At 38.1% G+C, this 25,185-nt stretch overlaps 1 protein-coding gene across 3 annotated transcripts in view; it reads left to right on the top strand.

The window, feature by feature from the left end:
* ZRANB3 (zinc finger RANBP2-type containing 3) overlaps nt 1-25,185 on the top strand; it is a 334,250-nt gene that overhangs the window by 208,928 nt on the left and 100,137 nt on the right. For all 3 annotated transcript variants that reach the window (NM_032143.4, NM_001286569.1, NM_001286568.2), the window contains exons 7-8: nt 6,761-6,932; nt 8,686-8,802. In NM_032143.4, coding sequence (NP_115519.2) covers nt 6,761-6,932; nt 8,686-8,802 — 289 coding nt within the window. The remainder of the gene's footprint in view (nt 1-6,760; nt 6,933-8,685; nt 8,803-25,185) is intronic.

Raw genomic sequence — 25,185 nt, 5'->3', positions numbered from 1 at the left:
GAAAAAGAAGAAAAGAATAAGATTCACACTATTTTTCTTTACAGTCGTCAATCAGGAGACACATGTAAATCACTGGAACATATAGAATCTAGAAATAGACCCATATATGTGATCAATTGATTTTTGACAATATGCAAGACAATTCACTGGAGAAAAGCTAGTCTTTTCAATACATGCTCTTGGAACAATTGGACATCCATATGTGAAAAGAAGAAACCCAAACCATATCTTACACAATATGCAAAATTTAATGATAAATGGATTGTATATTTGGGACTTTGGGTTAGGTAAGGATTTTTTTAGATGGGGCACAAACTTCATGAACGATAAAAGACAAAAGTGATGAATTTCACCTCATCAGAACTTAAAATGTCTCTCCCCAACACTGTTAAGAGGTGAATAGACAAGCCATAAACTTGGAGAGAAAATTGTAAACTACATATTTGATAAAGGAATATATAAATTTATAAGTACACAAAAGGAATTTTTAAAATAATATATTAAAAATTCTCAGCTAGGCAGGGTGGCTCACACCTGTAATCCCAGCACTTTGGGAGGCAAGGTGGGCAGATCACCTGAGGTCAGGAGTTCGAGACCACCCTGGCCAACATGGCAAAACCCCATCTCTACTAAATAAAAAAATACAAAAATTAGCCCGGCATGGTGGTACACACCTGTAGTCCTAGCTACTCAGGAGGCTGAGGCAGGAGAATCGCTTGAACCTGGCAGGTGGAGATTGCAGTGAACTGAGATCGTGCCACTGCTCTCCAGTTTGGGCGACAGAATGAGACTCTGTCTCAAAAAAAAAAAAAAAAATCCCAAAACTCAGTAATAAGAAAACAAAATAATTTTAAAAACAGTTAAAAGATTTAGAAAGGCGCTTGACCTAAGGCGATATACAGAAGTCAAATAAGCACATGAAAAAATGCCCAAGACCTTAGTCGTTAGAGAAATGTGAGTTAAAATACCAGTACACGTGCATTAGAATGGTGGCAAGGTTACCGAACAACTGGAACTTTCTGCTGGGAATTACATTGCTTACATTGCTGCTGGGAATGCAAAATGTTCAACCACTTTGGAAACATTATGGCATACACTGACAATACAAATCAGAAATCCTACTGCTGGGTATTTAGTAAAGATAAATGAAAACATATGTTCACTCAGAAATCTGTATGCAGCTGTTTATAGTAGCTTTATTTATAATCACCTAAAACTGGAATAATCCAGATGTCCTTCAACTAATGTGATTGCAGAAATTGTGATATAGCCATACATTGGAATGTATTACTTGACAATAAAAAGCAATGAACTATTAATATACCCAATAACATATATAACTTTCAAATGCAATATGCTAAGTGAAAGAAATAAGATTTAAAAGGCTACTTACTGCATAATTCTATTTATATTACATAACATTCCAGAATGTGCAGAACTGCTAAGGCAAAAAACAGATTAATGGTTGCCAGGAGCCAAGGATGAGAGGAAAGGATTGCTACAAGAGGCACAAGAGAACCTAACTTTAAAAAACCAGAGGGTGATTTCCAAAGTCAAAAGTTAACTCTGCATGTGTATGTGTGTTTGTTCATGAACACAGATAAGCATATATGTTCTTGGCCATAAACTTCCTGTTTCATCATCATAAGCTAATGTTAAATGCTACTGGGAAATGACTTTTTTAAATTATATATGATCAAAAGGAGATTAAAAGGCGTATGTTTATTCTTTCAATTTAGAAAAGAATAAATGAATTTTTACTTACTCTGTAAAACTGAATGAGAAAATAATTATTCTAAGCTCAAAAGAAAGTTCATGTTTCATAAATGTCTTTAGGGGCATTTACAATTTTTTGGTTGTTGCTAATTTTAGTTTGTTAGGAATTAAGTATCCTTTTGTTTTAAACCTACCCCCAAAGCATACTGCTTATACTTTGTCCTTAAACATATTTTTCTTATTCATTTACACCTTTTCTCTTTGTTCTATGCACTTTACCTCTTTGATAATGCATTTACAAATTTGTTTGATAATTTTCTTTCCTTCCCATGCAACTATGGACCTTAATCTTCAGAATCTTTCACTTTTAGCTCGGCCTGGTGGCATGTGCCTGTAGTCCCAGCTACTCAGGTCGCTGAAGCAGGATAATCACTTGAGCCCAGGAGATCGAGGCTGCAGTGCACTATGGTTGTGCCTGTGAATGGCCACTGTATTCTAGCCTGGGCAACATAGTGAGAACCCATCTCTTGGGGGGAAAAAAAAGAATCACTCACTTTTTAGGCCATTTCAAGACCCTAGGAGGGAGTTTTGGCACTTTTCACAGGATCATATGTCCCTGTCAAATTTATAGAAGTAGACACTTTCAATATATTAAAAGATCTCTTTTCAGCACATCTTCCTCTTCTCATATTTTTCCTTGTGTTTTGTGATGGAGTTATCACCAAGTGTTGTTGGGATCAGGCTAAGAAGAAATTATATTAGCGGTATGTTTGGTTTGGATTTAGTGGGTTATATTTATGTATTTAGTTAGGTTATTGCTAGCCAACCTAGTATAGGAATGGCTTCCAGAAATAATCCTGGTAATGGGTGAGTGGACATATTGCAGTGCGAACGTGTCTTATGGTGCCAGATGCTGGGAACATGTGAGTACTGGAAGAGAAGCAAGGTTGAAATGTAGAGAGCCAGAGGATAATCTGCGAATAATTCTTTCAATTCTTATAGCTTATATTTGACAGAAATTTGATAGAGATTTTTTTCAAATTTGATTATAATTAGAAATATATGTACACACACAGAGTATGACAGTAAGTTATAAACTTGAAATAAACTTTAAAAAATTATCATTAATAAACAACAAAATTCGATCATCCATGCTTGAGTAAAGACTGAAGTATCCTATTTCTCAAATATTACAAAGTTATTGTCACCTGAAGAGGCAGTCAAAGCATAAGCAGTGGACAATGTTGAAAAAACATTATAGATGTGATAAGTGGTTAATTAAAAAGTGTTATTTTTCTGGATTTAGGAACATCTGTAAGCATTTATAAATTTTTTGTTTTGTGTAACTTGTGTTTTTTTCATTATAGACTCATATTTGTACTTCACTTTTTATTCGTAATTCTGTTTAAGTAACAAAAGTGTCTAACTCTAAAAAGGGCTCATTGTATCTTTACTGGCCAATTCTGTCAGTCAAGTTGTGCCCATGCCTGCTAGGCACTTGCCCCTCTTCTCAACTCTGTATACACCCCATTTTAAAGCATTGTTTTTTAGCATACTGCCAATGCATGAATTATATTCATGTTACTATTCTAAGCATTATGTATATTTTAAAACTTACATGAAAGAGAAGCTAATTTAGAAAGCTGAGATAAGAATACAATATGTAGAGGAAGTTCCTTCTGCCCCTCAGTGGGTTGACTTGAACGCCTCTGGAGTCTACCCATCCCCACACTTTGGAGACCAATGCTATGAAGTGGGAGCTATTGAAGGTATTTTTTTTTTAAGATTCTTTTTACGTCATTGAATTTTAATTACAAAAGCATTATTTGCTTATTGTAAACTTTCAGATAGACAAAGTGAAAACAAAATGGGGTAACAAAACCCCAGTTTTTCACGTAAACTTTTCGGTCTCTTTAACTATGACCCCGAAGTTAAGCAATGTATCATATCTTGATGTGTGTTCTTCTGGAACTGTTTCCATTATTATACAGACATACATATATACACACATCTACACACATACTACATAATCCTTCATACCCAACATATTACTCTGAGACTTGCATTTATCATTTAACATATATCTTCAACATTCATCTTACCCCTTACATAAAGATCTAAGTGATTCTTATGAATAGTTGCTTAATAATCCATAGTTGGCATGCCCCACAGTTTATTCAACCATCCCCCAAACAGTGGATCTTCCCATTTTATATATGTAGGAATTGAGAATTAAGAAAAATAAAGGCCAAAACCTAAAGTTAGGAATGTTTCCTAGTCTCAGAATCTCCTGCTTTTGTGTAGCTGCCCCCAATACACACACACACACACACACACACACACACACACACACACACACACAAAATAGTGTGTAAATAGCATAGGAAAATAATCCCAAGAAATATATTTAATATAATTTTTATATTATTAGGTAAAAGTTGGCTTTTAGTAAAGCAAGACTTTGGAGTCAGACTGCCCAAGTTCAAATCTCAGCACCACTATTACCATCCATGAGATGTTGGGCAAATTCTTCAAATTCAGCAAATTTAAAGAGACTAAAGGTTTACAGGTGGCACCTCTTCTAGTCCTCCCTAATCCCTCTTATTTCCCCTTTGCACCCCAAACATGAGGCTGGGGTTTTGGCAAATGTGTTATTGTCACCACTCTTTAGAACAAACGCCACCACTAGCATTCGAAGCTCTAGATGAAAGAGATGTGGGTGGGGAGAGTGGGTAACAAGAAATAATTCCTCTGAACCATGGTTCATACCAGGCATATGGCGCTTAGGATCAACTAGTGGCATAAGACCCACGAGGCAACTAGCTGAAACTTCTCTCAATAGTGTACCCTCCCCTGGAGCAGTGAGGAAATCCTCACTGTTACAGACCAGGTCCTGGCACTATGACACACTGAAAATAGATTGCTCAGACTTCAAAACAGATCTGCATTTTGGGAGTACAACTGTTGGTACTCTGCAGGAGGCAAGTGTGGCCTATGTGGTTAGCCTGTTTGAAGACAATTGTGTGTTGTCTTTGCCAGCATGTAGCAGTCATACCAAAAGGCCTCCAGCTAGCATACTGCACACCTGTACAATGTCTCATGTAAGTGGAGAGTGTGCTTAAGAATCCATTTTAATGGCAAACACTGCATTTTCAACAAAATAAAACAAAAACCACCACCTACCAACTTCTTCCCAATATTGGTAGTTCTGAATGTTAGATTTTTTTTGTGACCGTGTGATCAAAGTATACCTAAGTGTATGAATGGAAAAATAGGTGCAGAACAGGTATTGGCAAGTATTTTCCCATTTTTATTAGTGTGTGAATTTTTAATATAAATATGGGGACATGATGCATTAAAGGAAGTCAAAAAATTTTAATGAACAAGTTTCAGCAATTCAATTTATAACAATTATAAGCAAATCCGTTAAAAATTTTTATATAGTGACAGCACTTAGATTTTTTAAACAAGTAAATTTCTTATTGATGACAACTAAATGGTATGTGTATAATTTTATCATACAGTAGATTCCATTCATTCACTATACTTATGTAATTGACTCTACATGCAAGTATATATATATATATATATTTTTTTTTTTTTTTTTCTCGAGACGGAATCTCGCTCTGTCACCAGGCTGGAGTGCAGTGGCACGATCTCGGCTCACTGCAACCTCTGCTTCCCGGGTTCAAGCGATTCTCCTGCCTCAGCCTCTTGAGTAGCTGGGACTACAGGCACACACCACCATGCCTGGCTAAATTTTGTATTTTTAGCAGAGACAGGGTCTCACTATGTTGGCCAGGATGGTCTCAATCTCTTCACCTCGTGATCTGCTCGCCTTGGCGTCCCAAAGTGCTGGGATTACGGGCGTGAGCCACCGTGCCCGGCTACAAGTATATCTTTTTAATATTATGTGTATTGTTTATGTTTAATATTTATTTTTTAAAAAGCTAATGTTAACGAGTTCCACATTTCTCAAATTGACACCTATTTGTGCTAAAATACACCCAGTATTTTTTATCCAGTAAAATGATAGTTACTTAAATTATTAATATTAGTAATCATAATCCAACCTAACAGGAATTTTTTATTTGTTAATTATTCTCTAACAGCTGTTTTCAGTAGTGGGTAGTATGGACCCCTAGGAGATGATTGGGAATTTTATGGGCTGGTATTTTGGTTGTCACATTGATAGGGATATGTTATTGGATCGGTTGTCCTAATGTGTAAGTTCAATTGATCCACTAGATTTCAACCCTTCTGTTAACATTTGTTCACAGTACTTGGTGCTTTGAGCTTCTAATTTTCTGAAAGGTCTAGAGAATAACTTGTCTTTTGCAAGCAGTTTAAGTTATCGCTTCCTTTCTTTTGCCAAGTCAGTTACCACTTTTCTATCTGCATTATGCCTTCTAAATATTTCTTCAAAGCACTTATTCTCTGATGTCTCCTCTCATTCTCTCTTTCATAGTAATTTTGTGTTCTTTTATTTTATCCCTTTGCTGTCAATCCAGGAAAGGGTTAGAAAGGAAGAAGTATTTCAAAGGAAGAAGAGACCACCATGTAATCAATCTGCTATGCTTTAACAGCCCTATTGGAGATAATATCTCCTCCTAGAGGGCACAGAAAATGTTCTGGGTGGTTTTGGTTATTATAATGACTGGCTGATGCACTGGCAGTTCATGCCTACTTTATGGATAGATCTGCTAAAACACCACCATGTGTGAGCCCACTCAAAATGCCAATAACACCCCCATTTACAAACAGTGACCTAGTGCAATTCACAGTCATCAGTTCATCACAGCCTTGCATTAACTCAGTGTAAACAGTATGCTTAGACACTAACATCTTCTCTAGTTTAAAGCAGTGTCAAATCTTATTCATTACTGTTTTTCAGGCTGAGCTTTTTGAAACTAATATTCATTCAGAAATATCAATGAAAACAGTGTCATGGCTCCTTATCATTAAAAGGAAGAGCACATTGGATAAATTATTTTCTTAACTCCAGCATTCAATTTTGCTACATGTTTTGTCTTCATTTTAACAGATATTTTGGTAAAAGACCTCAGTGGGATTGTAGAGGGGCATCAAATCTTAATGAACTTCACCAGCTATTAAGTGACATAATGATTAGAAGATTAAAGACTGAAGTTTTAACCCAGCTACCCCCTAAAGTCAGACAGCGTATTCCATTTGATCTTCCATCAGCAGCTGCCAAGGTGAGAACCGTTGCTTGATTTAAAGTCTTACTTTAAATAATTTTGAATTACACTATTAAAGATTATACGTATTTCATATTTCACAGAAGGAAAGGTTTGCTTTCTTAAAATAGGTTTAATTAATAGAGCCTATACATTGGTTTTGTATTTCAGCAAGAAAGCAGGAAGAATTCAATTTTATTCATCAGATGCATAAAAAGATATGGTAACCTAGTGGTTTAAAAAAAAAGTATTTTTGCTGAAAAAAGAACTTCAATTGCAACAGAGATGTAGTATTAAGAATTCTAAATATCGGCCAGGCACGGTGGCTCATACCTGTAACCCAGCACTTTGGGAGGCTGAGGTGGGCAGATCACCTGAGGTCGGCAGATCACCTGAGGTCAGGAGTTTGAGACCAGCTGGCCAACATGGTGAAAACTCGTCTCTACTAAAAATACAAAAATTAGTTGAGTGTGGTGGCGAGTGCCCGTAATCCCAGCTACTCGGGAGGCTGAGGCACGAGAATCAGCTTGAACCCAGGAGGCAGAGGTTGCAGTGAGCCGAGATCGCGCCATTGCACTCCAGCCTGGGCAACAGAGCGAGACTCCATCTCAAAAAAAAAAAAAAGAATTCTAAATAGAAGGTGTGAAACCCAATAATTAGCAAGGGAAATTGTGTTCCTTGCTCTAGAATTTCTTTTTAAAGTATGAATAACTCTCTTCTAGAAAAACTTCATGCAGCCCTATTCTTGAAATTCTAAAACTCTGTGACCATGTTGTAAGACGTGAAATTCAGTATATCAGAAAACCAGTTTACTAATCCTTACCTAATCCTCATCCATGTTTACTTTTGGAGACTGCAGTGCTTATATATTCTCTGAAATTTCTGCAAATCTGAAAATGACTTTATTAACAGAGTTTTTCATTGTTATCTTGAAAGCTTATAAGCATTTTGTAAACATTGAGCAATATGTTACTTCTAAAATAAGAACAATCTGATTTTCTTATCTATTAGTATTAGAAAGAAAAATAAAATGGAATCAACATATGATTATATTTGTACTTCATATTAATTTTATTTAATATTCCCCATCTTTATTTAAATCAAACCACATCTTTTTACAAAAGTACTTAGCTGCTTTATACATTTTTACTACTCTGCTTTCTTATGTTTCTTATGTTCATTTTACAGAATGTATCTTCTTAAGAAGTTATAGGCCAGGGTGCGGTGGCTCACGCCTGTAGTCCCAGCACTTTGGGAGGTCGAGGTGGGCAGATCACCTGAGGTTAGGAGTTCGAGACCAGCCTAACCAATATGGAGAAACCCTGTCTCTACTAAAAATACAAAATTAGCTGGGCGTGGTGGCGCATGCCTGTAATCCAAGCTACTTGGGAGGCTGAGGCAGGCGAATCGCTTGAACCCGGGAGGCGGAGGTTGCAGTGAGCCGAGATTGCACGATTGCACTCCAGCCTGGGCAACAAGAGCGAGACTCTGTCTCAAAAAAAAAGAAGAAATTATAATTGTTTGATTTATGCTGTTAGCAAAGGGCTTTGTTTTCACCCACAGCTTATCATTGGTTTCTATAATTTTGAAAATGTGACTGACCTACCTCTGCATTGATGTTTTTAAATGAACATGTTGGAATCTTTGGGGATTTTCTTTTTATATCTTTCTATAGAGAAAAGGAAAAAAAGTAGGACATGATTCATGATTGCATTAATTTGTTCTGTTCGTTATGCTATATTCATAAACAGTGTTATTTTTTCCCACATAGGAATTGAATACCAGCTTTGAAGAGTGGGAAAAAATAATGAGAACTCCAAATTCAGGTGCCATGGAGACAGTCATGGGGTTGATAACTCGCATGTTTAAACAAACTGCTATTGCCAAGGTACTCTTTGCTGGGCCATCATGTATTTGTCTTCATACAAATTATTCAATGTCTTTTACTGTTTTTAATTAAGCAAGTTATTTATATATTGCAGAATTTCTTTGCTATTGTTTAACTCTTTTTTTTTTTTTTTTTGAGTTGGGAGCCTCACTCTGTCACCCTGGCTGGAATGCAGTGGCGTGATCTCGGCTCACTGCAGCCTCCGCCTCCCAGGTTCAAGCCATTCTCCTGCCTCAGTCTCCCAAGTAGCCAGGACTACAGGCACATGCCAACATGCCCAGCCTGTTTAACTCTTTTTTATGGAAAAATTCAGACATACTCAAAGTAAACAGTAATGCTGTATCCAACCATATATTTATCTTTTCCAATATACAGGTATATTTTGATGCGGGAGGATACTATACGTTATACTTTCTCATTTAAATTATATATATATTCATTTTTTTCTTTTCTGTTTTTTTTTTTTTTAAAGACGGAATCTTACTCTTTTGCCCAGGCTGGTGTGCAGTGGCTCAATCTCAGCTCACTGCAACCTCCACCTCCTGGGTTCAAGCAATTCTCCTTCCTCAGCCTCCCAAGTAGCTGGGATTCCAGGCACGTGCCTCCATGCCTGGCAAATTTTTTTTTAATACTTTTAGTAGAGACAGGGTCCATCATGTTGGCCAGGCTGGTCTTGAACTCCTGACCTCAAGTGATCCACCCACCTTGGCTTTCCAAACTGCTGGGATTACAGGTGTAAGCCACCGTGCCCGAACTATATTCATCTTTATTATTAGTATTCCCATGGTTTTACTACATTATTACTGCAAATAATCTTTTTTTATTTGTCAGTCATCTTCCTTTGATATTCCATGTTCAGTACCCTACAGAGGTAATTTTGCTCACATTCTGTTTGTCTAAAAGTGAAAAATATAGGATTTTAGAATTTAGTAAAATTAGTGTAACTGTCAAGTAAACTTATCATATATTTGTGGTAGTTGTTTTTACCACCATGGTAGAACCTGTAAATACTGACGAGTGTCACCCCTCTTGATTCTGAGATTTTTTTTGTAACATACTTTTTTAAGATGAGGATTGTTGAGGTATATTTACATAAAGTGAAATTTATCCTTTTAAAATGTATAGTTGGTCCAGACATGGTAGTGTGCATGTCATCCTAGTTACTTGGGAGGCTGAGGAGGGAGGATCGCTTAGCTCAGAAGATCTGGGCTACAGTGAGCTATGATTGTGCCACCGCACTCCAGCTTTGGCAACAGAGCAAGACTCTGTCTCAAATAAAATAAAATAAAATAAAATAAAAATAAAATAAAATAAAATAAAATAAAATAAAAATAAAATAAAATAAAATAAAATAATAAAATAAAATAAAAAAATAAATACAATGTATGGTTGGATGAGGCTTGACAAATGTGTATAGTTGGATAAACATCAGTACCATGAAAATAGAGATATTCCTGTCATGCCAAAAAGTTCCCCCATGTGCCTTTGTAGCATTTCCCCTCCACCCATCACTATACCTTGGCAACCACAGATATGCTTTCTGTCACTATAGTTTTACACTTTCCAGAATGTCACAAAAATGGAACAATAGCATGTAGCCTTGTGTCTGGCTGCTTTCACTTAGCATAAAGGTTTTGAGATTGATTCAGGTTGTTGTATATGTTATTACTTTTCCTTTTTATTGCTTTCCTTACATCCTCCAATGTATGGGAACAAAACTTTAAAAAAATTTTTTTTGAGAGACAGAGTCTTGCTCTGTCACCCAGGCTAAAGTGCAGTGCCACAATCATAGCTCACTGCAGTTTCGAACACCTGGGCTCTAGGGATCCTTCTGCCTCAGCCTCCCAAAGCGCTGGGGTTATAGGTGTGAGCTACCTCATCTGGCCCCTAAAATTTTTTTTTTTTTTATTCTTTCACCTATTAATGGACATTTGGAATATTTCTGTTTTAGACTATTGTAAGTCAAAGTGGTATAATCATTCATGTACAGGCCTTTGTGTAGTCATATATTTTCATTTTCCTTGAGCAAATACTTGGAAATAGAACTGGTGAGTCATAAAAGTATAGATTTAACTTGATAAAAAAAACTGCCAAATTGTTTTTCAAAGTAGCTATATTATTTTGCATTTCTACTGACATTGTATGAGAGTTCCATTTGATATCTTTGTGAGCACTAGGTATTGCCATCTTTTTCATTTTAGCCGTTATTGTCGGTATGTAGTGGCATCTCATCGTGCTTTTAATTTTTCTTTTCCCGATGACTGATGGTGTTGAGCATGTTTTTTGGTGCCTTTTGTCTATTCATTTTCTTTTGTGAAGTATCTGTTCATATTGAGTCCATATTTATATGGGGTAATAAGAACTCTTTATTTTGGAAACAAGTTCTGTAATATATATATCTTTTACAAATATGTCCTCCAAGTCTATGGATTTGATTTCTATTTTATTAACATTGTCTTTCAGAGAACAGAAGTTTTAAATTTGGAAACAATCTAGTATATCAATTTTTTTCTTCCTTTTTTTTTTTGTATTTTGAGTCCTAAGAAATTTTTGCCTAATCTAAGTTCACAAAGATACCCTCTTATATTTTCTTCTAAAAATGCCATAGCTTTAGGTTATCAGTCATGTGCTACTTAATCAAATTTCAGTCAACAAAGCAGCACATATACAACACTGGTCTCATAAGATTATAATGGAGCATATATAGAAACATAATAAATGGCACTTGACATTGCATTGCAGATCAAGTAGGAGAAATAATTGGTATTCAGTAATGATGCTAGGTCCTTTGGTTTTTCATATGAAAAATATATATATAAATAAAAATACATATAACATATAGGTTTGTGTAAATACACTCTGTGATGTTCTCACAATGACAGCATTCCCTTAACAATGCATTTCTGAGAACATATCCCATAGCTAAGTGATAGATGACTTAGATGTAGGTCTATAAACTATTATTTTTGTAGCATATAATTCTTTTATATGCTACAAAATAAAGGTAGCAGTTCTGATTTTTTTATTTTTGTTTTGGTTTGTCATTTTACATATGGATTTTCAGTTGTTACAACACTCATCAAAACACAGAAGACTATTTTGCCCTCCTTAAATTTCCTTGGCACCTTCACCAAAAACCAATTGGCAATGTATGTGTAGGTCTGTTTCTGAACTCTATTCTCATTCATTGGTCTATTCATCAGCCTTATACTACAATGGCTTGATTACTGTAGCTTTATAATAAGTCTTGAAGGCCAGGCACGGTGGCTCATGCCTGTAATCCCAGCACTTTGGGAGGCCGAGGCAGGTGGATCACTTGAGGTCAGGAGTTTGAGACCAGCCTGACCAACATGGCAAAACCCCATCTCTACTAAAAATACAAAAATTAGCTGGGCGTGGTGTTGCACACCTGTAATCCCAGCTACTCGGGAGGCTGAGACAGGAGAATCACTTGAACCCAGGAGGTGGAGGTTGCAGTGAGCCGAGATCATGACACTGCACTCCAACCTGGGCAACAGAGCAAGACTCTGTCTCCAAAAAATAAATAAATAAATAAGCCTTGAAATTATATAGTGTTTACCCTACTGTATTCCTTTTCAATATTGCTTTGTCTTTTGTAGGTCCTTCGCTTTTCTGTATGAATTTTAGAATCAGCATTTTAAGTGTATACAATTTTGTTGGAATTGTGTTGGATCTGTTGACTAATTTGGAAGAATTTACTTCTGAATAATATTTAGTCTTCTGGTCCCTGAAAAGAGTATCGTTCACTTTTAATTTATCCCCACAATGTTCTCTAGTTTTTTTAATACATTTTGTTAGATTTATCCATAGGTATTTTGTGTCCTTTTATGCTCCTGTAAATGGCATTTTTTAAAATGTAAATTTCCAGGTTTCCCTTGCTAAGTATAGAATTATTATCGATTTTCTTATATTAACCTTTTATTCTGTGACCTTGCTGAACTCCTTTTATTAGTTCTTGTGGATTTTTGGTTAATTCTAGAAGATATAGGATCATTTTGTCTGCACATAAAGACATTTTTATTTCTTCCTTGTAATATATATGCCTTTTATTTATTTGTTTTGCCTATTACGTTGAAGGAAGACTAGTACAATTTTGGATAGAAATGATAGGACTGAACAGCCTTACCTTGTAGCCAATCTTAGGGGGAAGGCATTTAGTCTTTCACCATTAAATATGATGTTATTGCGGCTGGGTGCGGTGGCTCACACCTGTAATCCCAGCACTTTGGGAAGCCGAGGCAGGCAGATCACGAGGTCAGGAGATCAAGACCATCCTGGCTAACACGGTGAAACCCCGTCTCTACTAAAAAATACAAAAAATTAGCCAGGCATGGTGGCGGGTGCCTGTAGTCCCAGCTACATGGGAGGCTGAGGCAGGAGAATGGCGTGAACCCAGGAGGCAGCGCTTGCAGTGAGCCGAGATTGCACCACTGCACTCCAGCCTGGGCAACAGAGCCAGACTCCATCTCAAAAAAAAAAAAAAAAATGATGTTATTACTAAGTTTTTTTAGATGACTTTTCTTATGTAGAGGAAACTTCCTTTTTTTACTAGTTTGTTTAGAGAAGAAATGGAACATATGAACTTTTTTTCCTTTGGCGGAGAAGGGGAAGAAGAGGTGGTTATTATAAAGGTGGATATGAAGAAAATAGCTAATGTTCTAGCACTACTATAAGTGAAGGAATTAGGCTTTTATGAATGTTCACTCAGGCATGGTGGCTTACATCTGTAATCCCAGCACTTTGGGAAGCCGAGGTAGGAGAGTCCCTTCAGCTTAGGAGTTCGAGATCAGGCTGAGTAACAGAGGAAGACCTCGTCTCTATTCTATAAAAAACAAACAAAGGAAAAGACAAAACAAACAAAAAAGAACAAATTTTTTTCAGAAACAAAATTTAAATAAAAAAGAAAGAAAAAAGATCACAATAAAAGTGGTCCTGACACAGGGGAGTTTATACTCACTCACAGGCTTTATTTCCACTGGCATCTAGCAGGTGCTAGCTGGGAGTCCTGAGAGCATATCCATTAGTGGAGCAGAAGTTCAAAACTCTGCCTATTTTCAATACCCCTTTCTTACACTAAACAAAAGCCTTAAGCCATTGTGGAAGAGGCAGAGTACCCCCTCCTCCAACCTCAAAGCCTAGTCCATGATGGACTGCTTCTGGTGATGGGATAGGGACAAATGCTGCCTACCCCTGGGGAGTGGGCAGGAAACCCTGTTGGACTCAGGACCCTGCACTGATATAAGACAGAGATCTGTTACTGCCAGGGTAGAGGCAGAGACCCCTTTAGCACCACCTGCAGTTACAAGACATAGTTTTGTTAGTGGTGGGGGACAGGAACACCAAGAAAGTCCCACCCCCAAGGCTCAGCTGCAGCAAAAAATTTGTCTTATGCTGAGTTGGTACCAGGAGACTCAAAAGGTCCCCCAACCCCCACTATGAACTTAACACTGAGAAACCTTCAAGATCAATCTACCACTGGGAAAGAGAGACAACCTACTATCCTACAGGCGTGCAGGACTACTGAAAGCTGAGAATGTGGCAGGAACACTTAGCAAAACCCTTGACACACAGTATTACAAGCTAGAAGTATCCCATTGCTGGGGGAATTTGAGGTTCATGGTGCTCCAAAGGTAAATGTAACAAGAGAACCTAAACAGAACTCAGCGCTGACTACATTCACTCAGTCCCCTCCCCCACCATACTATCATCACCTCAAAGGAAGAAGCATGCTCAATTCTGGATGTAACTATCATTTCCTCAGTCTGTACTATCCTTCTACACATAACTCCTAGCATTCAATAGAAATTGCAAAATAACAAAAAAGACATTTAAAAAAACAACCATTGCCAAGACATAAAGCAACTGATAAAGCCAGATGCAGAAATGACCCAGATTGTAGAACTATTAGACAAGGGCTTTAAGATAGCTATGAATAATATGTTAAAGCATCAAATAGAAAAGATAAACAACATGCAAGAAAAGATGGAGAATTTTAGAAATAGTATGAAAATTGTAAAACAGTAAAATGGAAATGCTAGAAATAGAAAACACAGTATCAGTTATGAGCCAATAGTGGAAATAAAATGTAATCATAAAAAATCTGGCCGGGTGTGGTGGCTTACACCTGTAATCCTAGTGCTTCAGGATGCTGAGACAGGCAGATTGCTCGAGCCCAGGAATTCAAGACCAGCCTGAGCAACAAGGCAAAAACCCATCTCTACTGAAAATGCAAAAATTAGCTCAGTGTGATGGTACACGTCTGTGGTCCCACTACTCAGGAGGTTGAGGTGGGATAATCACTTGAGCCCAGGAGGCAGAAGTTGCAATGAGCTATGATCATGCCACTGCACTCCAGCCTGGACAACAGAGTAAGTGAGACCCTGTCTCAAAAATTAAAAAATAAATAAAGTAAAATAAAATAAAATTCATTAATTAAAACATTTGACTGGCACAGTGGCTCATGCCTGTAATGCCAGCAGTTTGAGAGGTTGAGGTGGGAGGATTACTTGAGGCCAGGAGTTAGAGACCAGTCTGGCCAACATGGTGAAACCCCATCTCTACTAATAAATACAAAAATAAGCTGGGTACAGTGGCTGATGCCTGTAACGCCAGCACTTTTGGAGGCTGAGGCAGGAGGATCACTTGAGGTCAGGAGTTCGAGACCAGCCTGACCAACATGGCAAAACCCTGTCTCTACCAGAAATACAAAAAATTAGCCAGGTGTAGTGGTGCTTGCTTATAATCCCAGCTATTCGGGAGGCTGAGGCAGGAGAATTGCTTGAACCCAGGAATCGGATGTTGCAGTGAGCCAAGATTGCACCACTGCATTCCAGCCTGGGCGACAGAGTGAGACTCTGTCTTAAAAAAAAAAAAAAAGGCCGGGTGCGGTGGCTCATGCCTGTAATCCCAGCACTTTGGGAGGCCGAGACGGGTGGATCACGAGGTCAGAAGATCAAGACCATCCTGGCTAACATGGTGAAACCCTGTCTCCACTAAAAATACAAAAAAAAAAATTAGCCGGGCGTGGTGGCGGGTGCCTGTAGTCCCAGCTACTCGGGAGGCTGAGGCAGGAGAATGGCGTGAACCCAGGAGGCGGAGCTTGCAGTGAGCCAAGATTGCACCACTGCACTCCAGCCTGGGTGACAGAGTGAGACTCCACCTCAGAAAAAAAAAAAAAAAAAAATCAGTCAGATGAAAAAAGAATAAAAAGGGATGGGGAAAGCCTATGGAATACCATAAAGTGTCCAAATATTTAAATTTGGGGTATTCCAGAAGGAGAAGAGATGGGCAAAGGCATAGAAAAAATATTTAATTAAGTAATAGTTTAAAACTTCCCAAGTCTAGCAAGAGCTGTAGACATCCAGATACAGGAAGCTCAAAGACTTATCAAATAGATACAACCTGAAAAGGTCTGCAAGGCACATTGTTGTCAGAAGTCAAAGACAAAGGGAGAATTCTAAAAGCAGCAAGAGAAAAACATCAAATCACATATAAGGGAATGTTCAACAGAGTAAAAGCAGATTTCTCAAAAGAAACCTTACAGGCAAGGAGACACTAGGATAATATATTCAATTTGCTGAAAGGAAGAAAAAAAAAGCTTTCAGCCAAAAATACTATACCCAACAAAGCTATCCTTCAAAAGTAAAGGAGAAATAAAATATTTCCCAGACAAGGAAAAACTGAAGGAATTTATCATCACTAGAACAGCCCTATAAGAAAAACTTAAAGGAGCCCTACACCTGGAAAAAAATAATTGTATCTACCATCATGAAAACACATGAAAGTACAAAACTCATTGGTAGAGCAGATACACAAATGAGGAAAAGAAAGGACTCAAATGTTACTACTACAGAAAGCCACCAAACCACAATGATAAAAAATAAGAGAGAAAGAAAGGAACAAATGATACAGAAAACAACGATAAAACAATTAACAAAATGGCAATCCTCACATGTAAAACATAACGTTAAATGTTAATGGATTGAATTATTCACTTTAAAGATACAGACTGGCTGAATGGATTGTTTTAAAACAAAAAACATCACCCAACTATATGCTGCCTACAAGAAATTCACTTCATCTGTAAAGATACATATAGACTGAAAGCAAAGAGATGGAAAAAGATGTTCCACACAAAGAGAAACCTAAAGTGAGCAGGAATAGCTATACTTATCAGAAAAAGCAAACCTTATGTCAAATAGTAAAAGGGGCCAGGCACAGTGGCTCACGCCTGTAATCCCAGCACTTTGGGAGGCCAAGGCAGGTGGATCATATGAGGCCTGGCAAACATGGCGAAACCCCGTCTCTACTAGAAATATAAACATTAGCCGGGCACGGTGGCACACACCTGTAATCACAGCTACTTGGGAGGCTGAGCCAGGAGAATTGCTTGAACCTGGGGAGGTGGAGGTTTCAGTGAGCCGAGATCGCACCACTGCATTCCAGCCTGGGCGACATAGTGAGACCCCATCTCAAAAAACAAAAAAAAAGAAACTTGAAACTGATTGTTTTGAACGAATAAAACTTGTAAAACTTAAAACAAAAATAGAGAAGAAAGTAATTTACCCATGTCAGCAGTAAAATAGAATAAAAAGACTGTCACTACAGACCCTATAGGCATTAAAAAGATAATAAGAGAATATCATTAACAACTTTATGTCAAGAAAGCCAACAAAATTTATATGAATATATAGATTCCATAAATATCACAGCTGACTCAAAAAGAAATTAAAAACCTAAATAGCCCTGTATCAACTAGAAAAATTTAATTCATAATAAAAATCATAATGAAAATTTGAGGCCTCAATGGTTTCACTGCTATATTCCATTGAACATTTAACATAAAAAGTAAAACCAATTCTAAAAATTTCTTAGGAAATGAAAGAGAAATACCTCCCAAATAATTTTATAACTTCAGGATTACTCTGTTACCAAAACCAGACAAACAAAATAATGAGAAAACTATAGGTCAGTGTTCTTAATGAATGTGAAAGTCCTTAACAAAATATTAGCAAATTGAATCCACCAGTATGTAAAAAAGTATACCAGCAATACAAAGTTTAACACTGAATTAATCACTGTAAATCATCACATGAACAATATAAAAATTGAAAACCATATGATTATTTCAATGTAAGCATTTGACAAAATTCAATATCCATTCCTGACAAAACCTGTCAACAAATCAGGAATAGAAAGGAACTTCTTTATCACAATAAAAGGCATTTATGAAAACTTACATCTAACATCATACTTAATGCAGAAAGACTGATGCTCTTCCTCTAAGATCAGGAACAAGACAAGAGAGCCTTTCCTCATCACTTCCCTTTAACATTGTTCTGGTTCTGGTCTTAGCTGTGCATTAAGGCTAGAAAAAGAAATACAAGGTGTACATATCAAAAAGCAGTAAGTAAAATTGTCCATATTCACAGGCAGGATTATCCACATAGAAAATCGAAGAGTGATTTTATCAAGGTCCCAGAATTCATGTTCAACATATAAAAATCGTTTCTCGTTCTGTATACTGGCAATAAAAATTGGAAACTGAAATTTTAAAAATACGATTTGAAATAGCATCCAAAATCATGAACTAATTTAGAATAAAGTCAACAAAAAATATGTACTGAAAACTACAAAGCATTGTTTAGAATAAGTAAAGCAAATTTAAATAAACAACAGATAGATTATGTTCATGAATCAGAAGAGTCAATATTGTTAAGATGCCAGTTCTCTGTAAATTTTTATATTCAATGCTGTTAATCAAAATCCTTGTAGTCTTTTTTGCATAAATTAACACACTAAATATAAAATTTATGTGGCAATACAAAGGACTTACTATAGCCAAAACAATTTTGAACGAGTCACACTACATTATATAAATACTTAATAAGAAGTTAATTAATGAATCAGAAAAAGAGAGTCCAGAAATAGAACCTCACATAGATTGTCAGTTGATCTGTTAAGAAAGGAGACAAGGTAACTCAATAGGGAAATTATAGTTTTCAGTAACGGGTACTAAGACAATTGGATATCCATAAGGAAAAAAAGAAGTCTTGAACATTATTTCACACCACACATAAAAATTAACTTGAAATGAGTCATAGAATTAAATATGAGAGCTAAAATTATAAAATTCTTAGGAGCATACATATGTAAAAATATTCCCAACTTTTGGGTAGGACAATGTTTTAGACAGGATACAAAAAGCACAAACTTTGAAGAAAAAATTGAGATTAAAAACTTGAACACATGGTGGTAAAAAATATATATATACGTAGTATGAAAAATACTGTTAGGAAAATGAAAATGCAAAACATAGATTGGAAGAAAATATTTTCAATATACTCTCCTTGTTCCATTTTCCCATGTCTTAATTTTCAGTTTGATCATAATTTTTTGTTAGATCAGTGTTCATTGTTTACAGTATAATAACTTTGTTAAACATCTCACTGTTGAGCTATAATTAAATTTTTTTCTTTGACTGTTGTTTTTCCTAGAGTTAATAACTCTCTTGTTTTTTGCTTGTTTGCTTACTTAGCTTTCTTTGTATATAATACTGAATACAGAATGCTTGCTTAAGGAAAAAGAACATATATGAGAACCTTTTAGATCGTTTCTTGTCTGTGGTTAAAAAACCCTAGTTGGGGCCGGGCGCAGTGGCTCCTGCCTGTAATCCCAGCACTTTGGGAGGCCAAGGTGGGCAGATCACGAGGTCAGGAGTTCGAGACCAGCCTGGCCAGCATGGTGAAACCCTGTCTCTACTAAAAATACAAAAATTAGCCGGGCGTGGTGGTGCGTGCCTGTAGTCCCAGGTACTTGGGAGGTTGAGGCAGGAGAATCGCTTGAGCTCAGGAGGTGGAGGTTGTAGTGAGCTAAGATGGTGCCACTGCACTCCAACCTGGGTGACAGAGCGAGACTCCCATCTCAAAAAAAAAAAAAACAAACCCTGGTTTGAAGTCAGAAGCGTTGACAATAAATAGGAATCTGGCATCTAATTCCTAGGATTCTTGAAGGAAAAGAAAAGAGATGAAAAGTAGTTGTCCCTAAATTAGGTAATGTTCCCAAAGATTAATGGCAGCAGAAGGCCAATCCTTGCCTCCCCAGTTCCCTAGAGTTTTTAGTCATTTTTCATTCCCTCTCTAATAGAACTTCTGTCCTCAACCACCTATGGAAATTGGAACTGTGTATTTCTATTCCTGAGCTACAGCCAGAAATAATTAATTCAAGCTATGACCAAATTGGAATTCTTAATACATTTTCCCCAGAAATATTACTGATATTTAGTAGAGTCTATAGTAACTGTGAATAATACAGTTTACCTACATTATAGATTAAATAGGCTTTTCAGGAGGTAGCTAGTTATCATCTACATTTAATGTTGATTCTGTGAGAAAATGAGTTTCAGAGTTCTCCCAAACCAGTTTGTAAATGAACTTGAAATAGCATAGATTATAATTTGATTATTATATTGTATGTATACCAGTGTTGGTGCTTCTTTTCTTTGATTAAATGTTTTCCTATTAATTCAGTACATATTTATTGATTGCCTACTATGTGGCAAGGTGCTAGGGAGGTATGGTGAACAGAATGTCTTCCTCTCAAGGAACTTGCAATCTACTGGGGAAGACCATGAAATAAATATTCAGCTACAATAGTGTGTATTTAGTGCTTCAAAAACAGGATGCTTATGAAAGTACATGAGAGAAGATACCTGGCCCAGTCTTGAGGGTGCAGGAAAGACATCCCAAGGAATGAACAAATAAGATTTACCCTGTCAGAGGGAGGGAGTAAAATGGAAAGGAGATGAGCTGGTGGAATGTATTTCAGGCAATTGAAACAGTTTGTGGAAACTCACAGAATAACCGGAAAGACATATTCAGGGAACCAAAAGTAGGTCAACATGCCTGAAGCATACAGTGCTAGGGAGGAATTCTCCAGCCTGGGCAACATAGTGAGACCACACCTCTACAAAAAATTAAACATAGCTAGGTGTGGTGGCTCATGCCTGTAATCCCAGCACTTTGGGAGGCCTAAGCGGGCAGATCACTTGAGGTCAGGAGTTCTAGATGAACCTGGCCAACATGGTGAAACTCCATCTCTACTAAAAATACAAAAATTAGCTGGGCATGGTGGTGCGTGCCTATAATCCCAGCTACTCGGGAAGCTGGGGCAGGAGAATTGCTTGAACCCAGGAGGCAGAGGTTGCGGTGGGGTGAGACGGTACCACTGCACTCCAACCTGGGCAACAAGAGTGAAACTCTGTCTCAAAAAAAAAAAAAAAAATAAACATATTAATTGGGCATGGTGGCATGTGCCTGTACTCCCAGCTACTTGAGAGGCTGAGGTGGAAGGATCACTTGAGCCCAGAAGGTCAAGGCTGCAGTGAGCCACGATCGTGCCACTGCATTCTAGCCTGGGTGACAGAGGAAGAAGAGGAGGAATTCCTCTTCTCAAAAAGAAGAGGAATTCTGACTGAGACTAGGCTGGAGGTCAATGAGAGCTATAACTACATTATGAAAGTCACAGTTCATAGTTTGTAATTTATTCTAAAGGTTCTTAGCAGTCAGGTACAGTGGATTGGAGTACAATAATCAGATTTGGGCTTTAGAGGAATAACTAGCTGTGTGGAGAATGTATTGGAAGCAATAACTAATAGGCAGAGAATCCACTTAGGATGCTCACTGATAATCTAGATGAACAATGCTGGTGATCTAAACCAATGTAGTGGCTGTATCATATCTTAACTGGGAAAGGAATAATTCATGATAGATTAAGGCAGTGCAATCAGTAGACATTGGTGATTGACTGAATGTGGAAGGGAGGGAAAAGGTCAAATCTAGATTTCTTGCTTGGTCAACTGGGTTGATATTTCTGCCATTCATTAAAATTGTGAAAAAATAGGAGATATATTTTGTGCCCAGACCCCCATTAAGCATAATCTGTGCCAAACACAACAAGGTGCAAGCTGTTAGATAGTAGAAATTTTCTTTGTACTCTGTAGCATCATTTTAGAAATACTTTTGTTTTCAATGAATCATTTGAAAAATTATGTTGAGGAATTTGAAGATAATTTAAAGCCACCTGATGATGGTTTTTTTAAAATCTTCATAAGAATAAGAAGGAAAAATTTAAAGAGAATAATGAGTTTTCAAGTAAATAGATGGGTGCAAATATGCAGCTACTTATAGGATATGCTATTTTAAGGGCATATACTTAATTATTACTTATAGTAAAATGAATTCCTCATTATTTGTGGTGTTTAGTTTTTCAAAGGCTATAATTCCATAATAAATACATAAATGTATGCAGTATGAAATCTTGTTCTTGTCAAACTGAGGAAGTGAATACTTTCTCTATTCTTTTTTTTAACACTGTTCACTAATTGTGGTTAGAGAGCATTGGGCCTAGAGAGTATTGAGTCATCTTTCCTCTTCCTTTGCTCTAGACAGAGTTATGCCTAAAGCCTTCCAAACAAATGGGTCTCTATCCATCCTAATTTTATAGATCTTCAAGATAAAAGATTTCTTTCTCTGCTGTAATCTTTTCTTTGCTTCATAACTTACACACTGTTCTAGGCAGACAATAGGATAGTACAGGGCTTCAAATTAGGTCATGTCAGCAAATTAGGTCATATTGTTAATAAATTTTAATATGTACAACGCTATGCTACAGAATTATGGTATTGGCATATATTATTTATGTGCTATATAAACATTTATGCTAGTCTGCCTTTTGAAGTACTTCTTAGGAGGACAAAGTATATTTTAAGTATGTTTGTTATCTCCTTAGTGGTGTTATTAGATTATCAAGGTCTCTTTTTCAGATAGTTCTTAAAGAAAACAAATAATGGTAATGATAAATAGTAAATAATGACGATAGGGAGGGCTTCCAGTGGAACTGGGAAAGGGCCACAAGGAGAAGGAAACTTCCAGCTGAACTCTAATAATTTCGACCTAGTGCAAATTTTCCTGGACAAAAACCTGGGGAGGGGGATGGTGCTCAAGGAGAATGGGAAGTGCAGATACAAGCACAGAAGAAGCTATAGGCAGAGCAGGGGAGGCTTGTAGCCTGGGGCAAGAGCTGCCTGGATGTAAACTCAGTGCTTTCCGTGGAGCACAGTGGGAGTGAGACTGGCCTTGCTGGCTGCCTGGGAGCTGGATAAGGCCTGTCACTGCAGGCTTTCCCCCACTTCCCTGGAGACCTGTATGACACAGCAGAGGCAACCATAATCTCCCTAGGAACATAAGTCCATTAGCCTGAGAACCACACTCCAAGCCCCCACAGTGGATGCAGCAGTCCCAGCCCAAGGAGAGTCTGAGCTCAGACACAACTAACCCTGCGACCTGATGGTCTTCTCTACCCTCCCTGGTAAGAGAAGACAAAAGACATAATCTCTTAGAATCTATATAGTCCTGTCCATCGCCCGAGAAAGTGGAATACTTGTCCAGGGACTTTAGACAAGCTTGTATGCCCCCTATACTGCTGCAGCTGATGTTCTCTTGAAAGCACCCCCTCCTGGCTGGAGGCCAGCCAACTCAAGCCATTACAGCGACTCAGAACAACCGTGCTCCAAAAAAGGAGGAAACAACAGGTAATCCCACTGCCTGTAACATCCTGGCTAACCTGAGATCCTCAGTCTGTACATGTGACAAATTCACTGCTAGCACAACCAGCATTCAAGAAAACCAGTGCACTAAACAAAACTACAACCAAGGACCCTCACAGAGTCCATTTCACTGCCCTACTATCTTCAGCAGAGCTGGTGATAGTATGCACAGCTGAGAGACCTGAAGACTGATCACATCACAGGACTCTTTGCAGACACTTCCCAGTACCAGCCCAGAGGCCAGTAGCTCTACTGGGGTGGCTAGACCCATAAGAGCAATAACAATCACTGCAGTCCAGCTCTCAGGAAGGCCCATCTTTAGGGGAAGGGGGCGAGCACCACATCAGGGGATCACCCTCTGAGACAGAAGAATCTGAACAGCAACCCTTGAGCCCCAGATCTTTCCTCTGACATGGTCTACCCAAATGAGAAGGAACCAGAAAAACAATTCTGGTAATATGACAAAGCAAGGTTCTTTAACATCCCCAAAAGATCACACTAGCTCACCAGCAATGGATCAAAACCAAGAAGAAATCTGAAGTGCCAGAAAAAGAATTCAGAGGTCAATTATTAAGCTACTCAAGGAGGCATCAGAGAAAGGTAAAAACCAACTTACATAATATTTTGTTGTTTTTGAGACAGAGTTTCACTCTGTCACCCAGGCTGGAGTGCAGTGGTACGATCTTGGCTCACTGCACCCTCTGCCTCCCGGGTTCAAGCAATTATCATGCCTCAGCCTCCCCAGTAGCTAGGACAACAGGTGTGCACCACCACACCCAGCTAATTTTTGTATTTTTAGTAGACATAGGGTTTCACCATGTTGGCCAGGCTGATATTAACTCCTGACGTCAGGTTATCCACCCACCTCAGCTCTGTAAAGGGCTGGGATTACAGGCGTGAGCTACCAAGCCCAGCCAATAAATTTTAAAAACAATACAGGATATGGACAAAAAAGTCTCCAGAGAAATAGATATCGTAAAGAAAAGACAATCATAACTTCTGGAAATAAAAGAAACACTTAGAGAAATATATAATACACTGTAAACTTACAACAATATAATTGAACAAGTAGAATAAAGAACTTCAGAGATCGAAGACAAGGCTTTCAAATTAATGCAATCTGACAAAGACAAAGAAAAAAGAATTTTTAGGATGGCTGAATAGGAACAGCTCCAGTCTACAGCTCCCAGCGTGAGCGATGCAGACGACGGGTGATTTCTGCATTTCCAACTGAGGTACCGGGTTCATCTCACTGGGTAGTGCTGGAGAGTGGGTGCAGGACAGTGGGTGCAGCGCACGGTGCATGAGCCAAAGCAGGGCGAGGCATCGCCTCACCCGTGAAGCGCAAGGGGTCAGGGAATTCCCTTTCCTAGTCAAAGGAACGGGTGACAGACGGCACCTGGAAAATTGGGTCACTCCCACCCTAATACTGCGCTTTTCCAATGGGCTTCACAAACGGCACACTAGGAGATTATATCCCGCACCTGTCTCGGAGGGTCATATGCCCACTGAGCCTTGCTCATTGCTAGCACAGCAGTCTGAGATCAAACTGCAAGGTGGCAGCGAGGCTGGGGGAGGGGTGCCCCCCATTGCCAAGGCTTCAGTAGGTAAACAAAGTGGCCGGGAAGCTCGAACTCGGTGGAGCCCACCACAGCTCAAGGAGGCCTGCCTGCCTCTGTAGGCTCCACCTCTGAGGGCAGGGCTAAGACAAACAAAAGGCAGCAGTAACCACTGCAGACTTAAATGTCCCTGTCTGA

This window comes from Homo sapiens, chromosome 2, assembly GCF_000001405.40.
Source record: "Homo sapiens chromosome 2, GRCh38.p14 Primary Assembly".
Classification (NCBI taxonomy): domain Eukaryota; kingdom Metazoa; phylum Chordata; class Mammalia; order Primates; family Hominidae; genus Homo; species Homo sapiens.
Note: the sequence above shows the minus strand (reverse complement) of the source record. Positions and strands in the feature narration are given on the sequence as shown.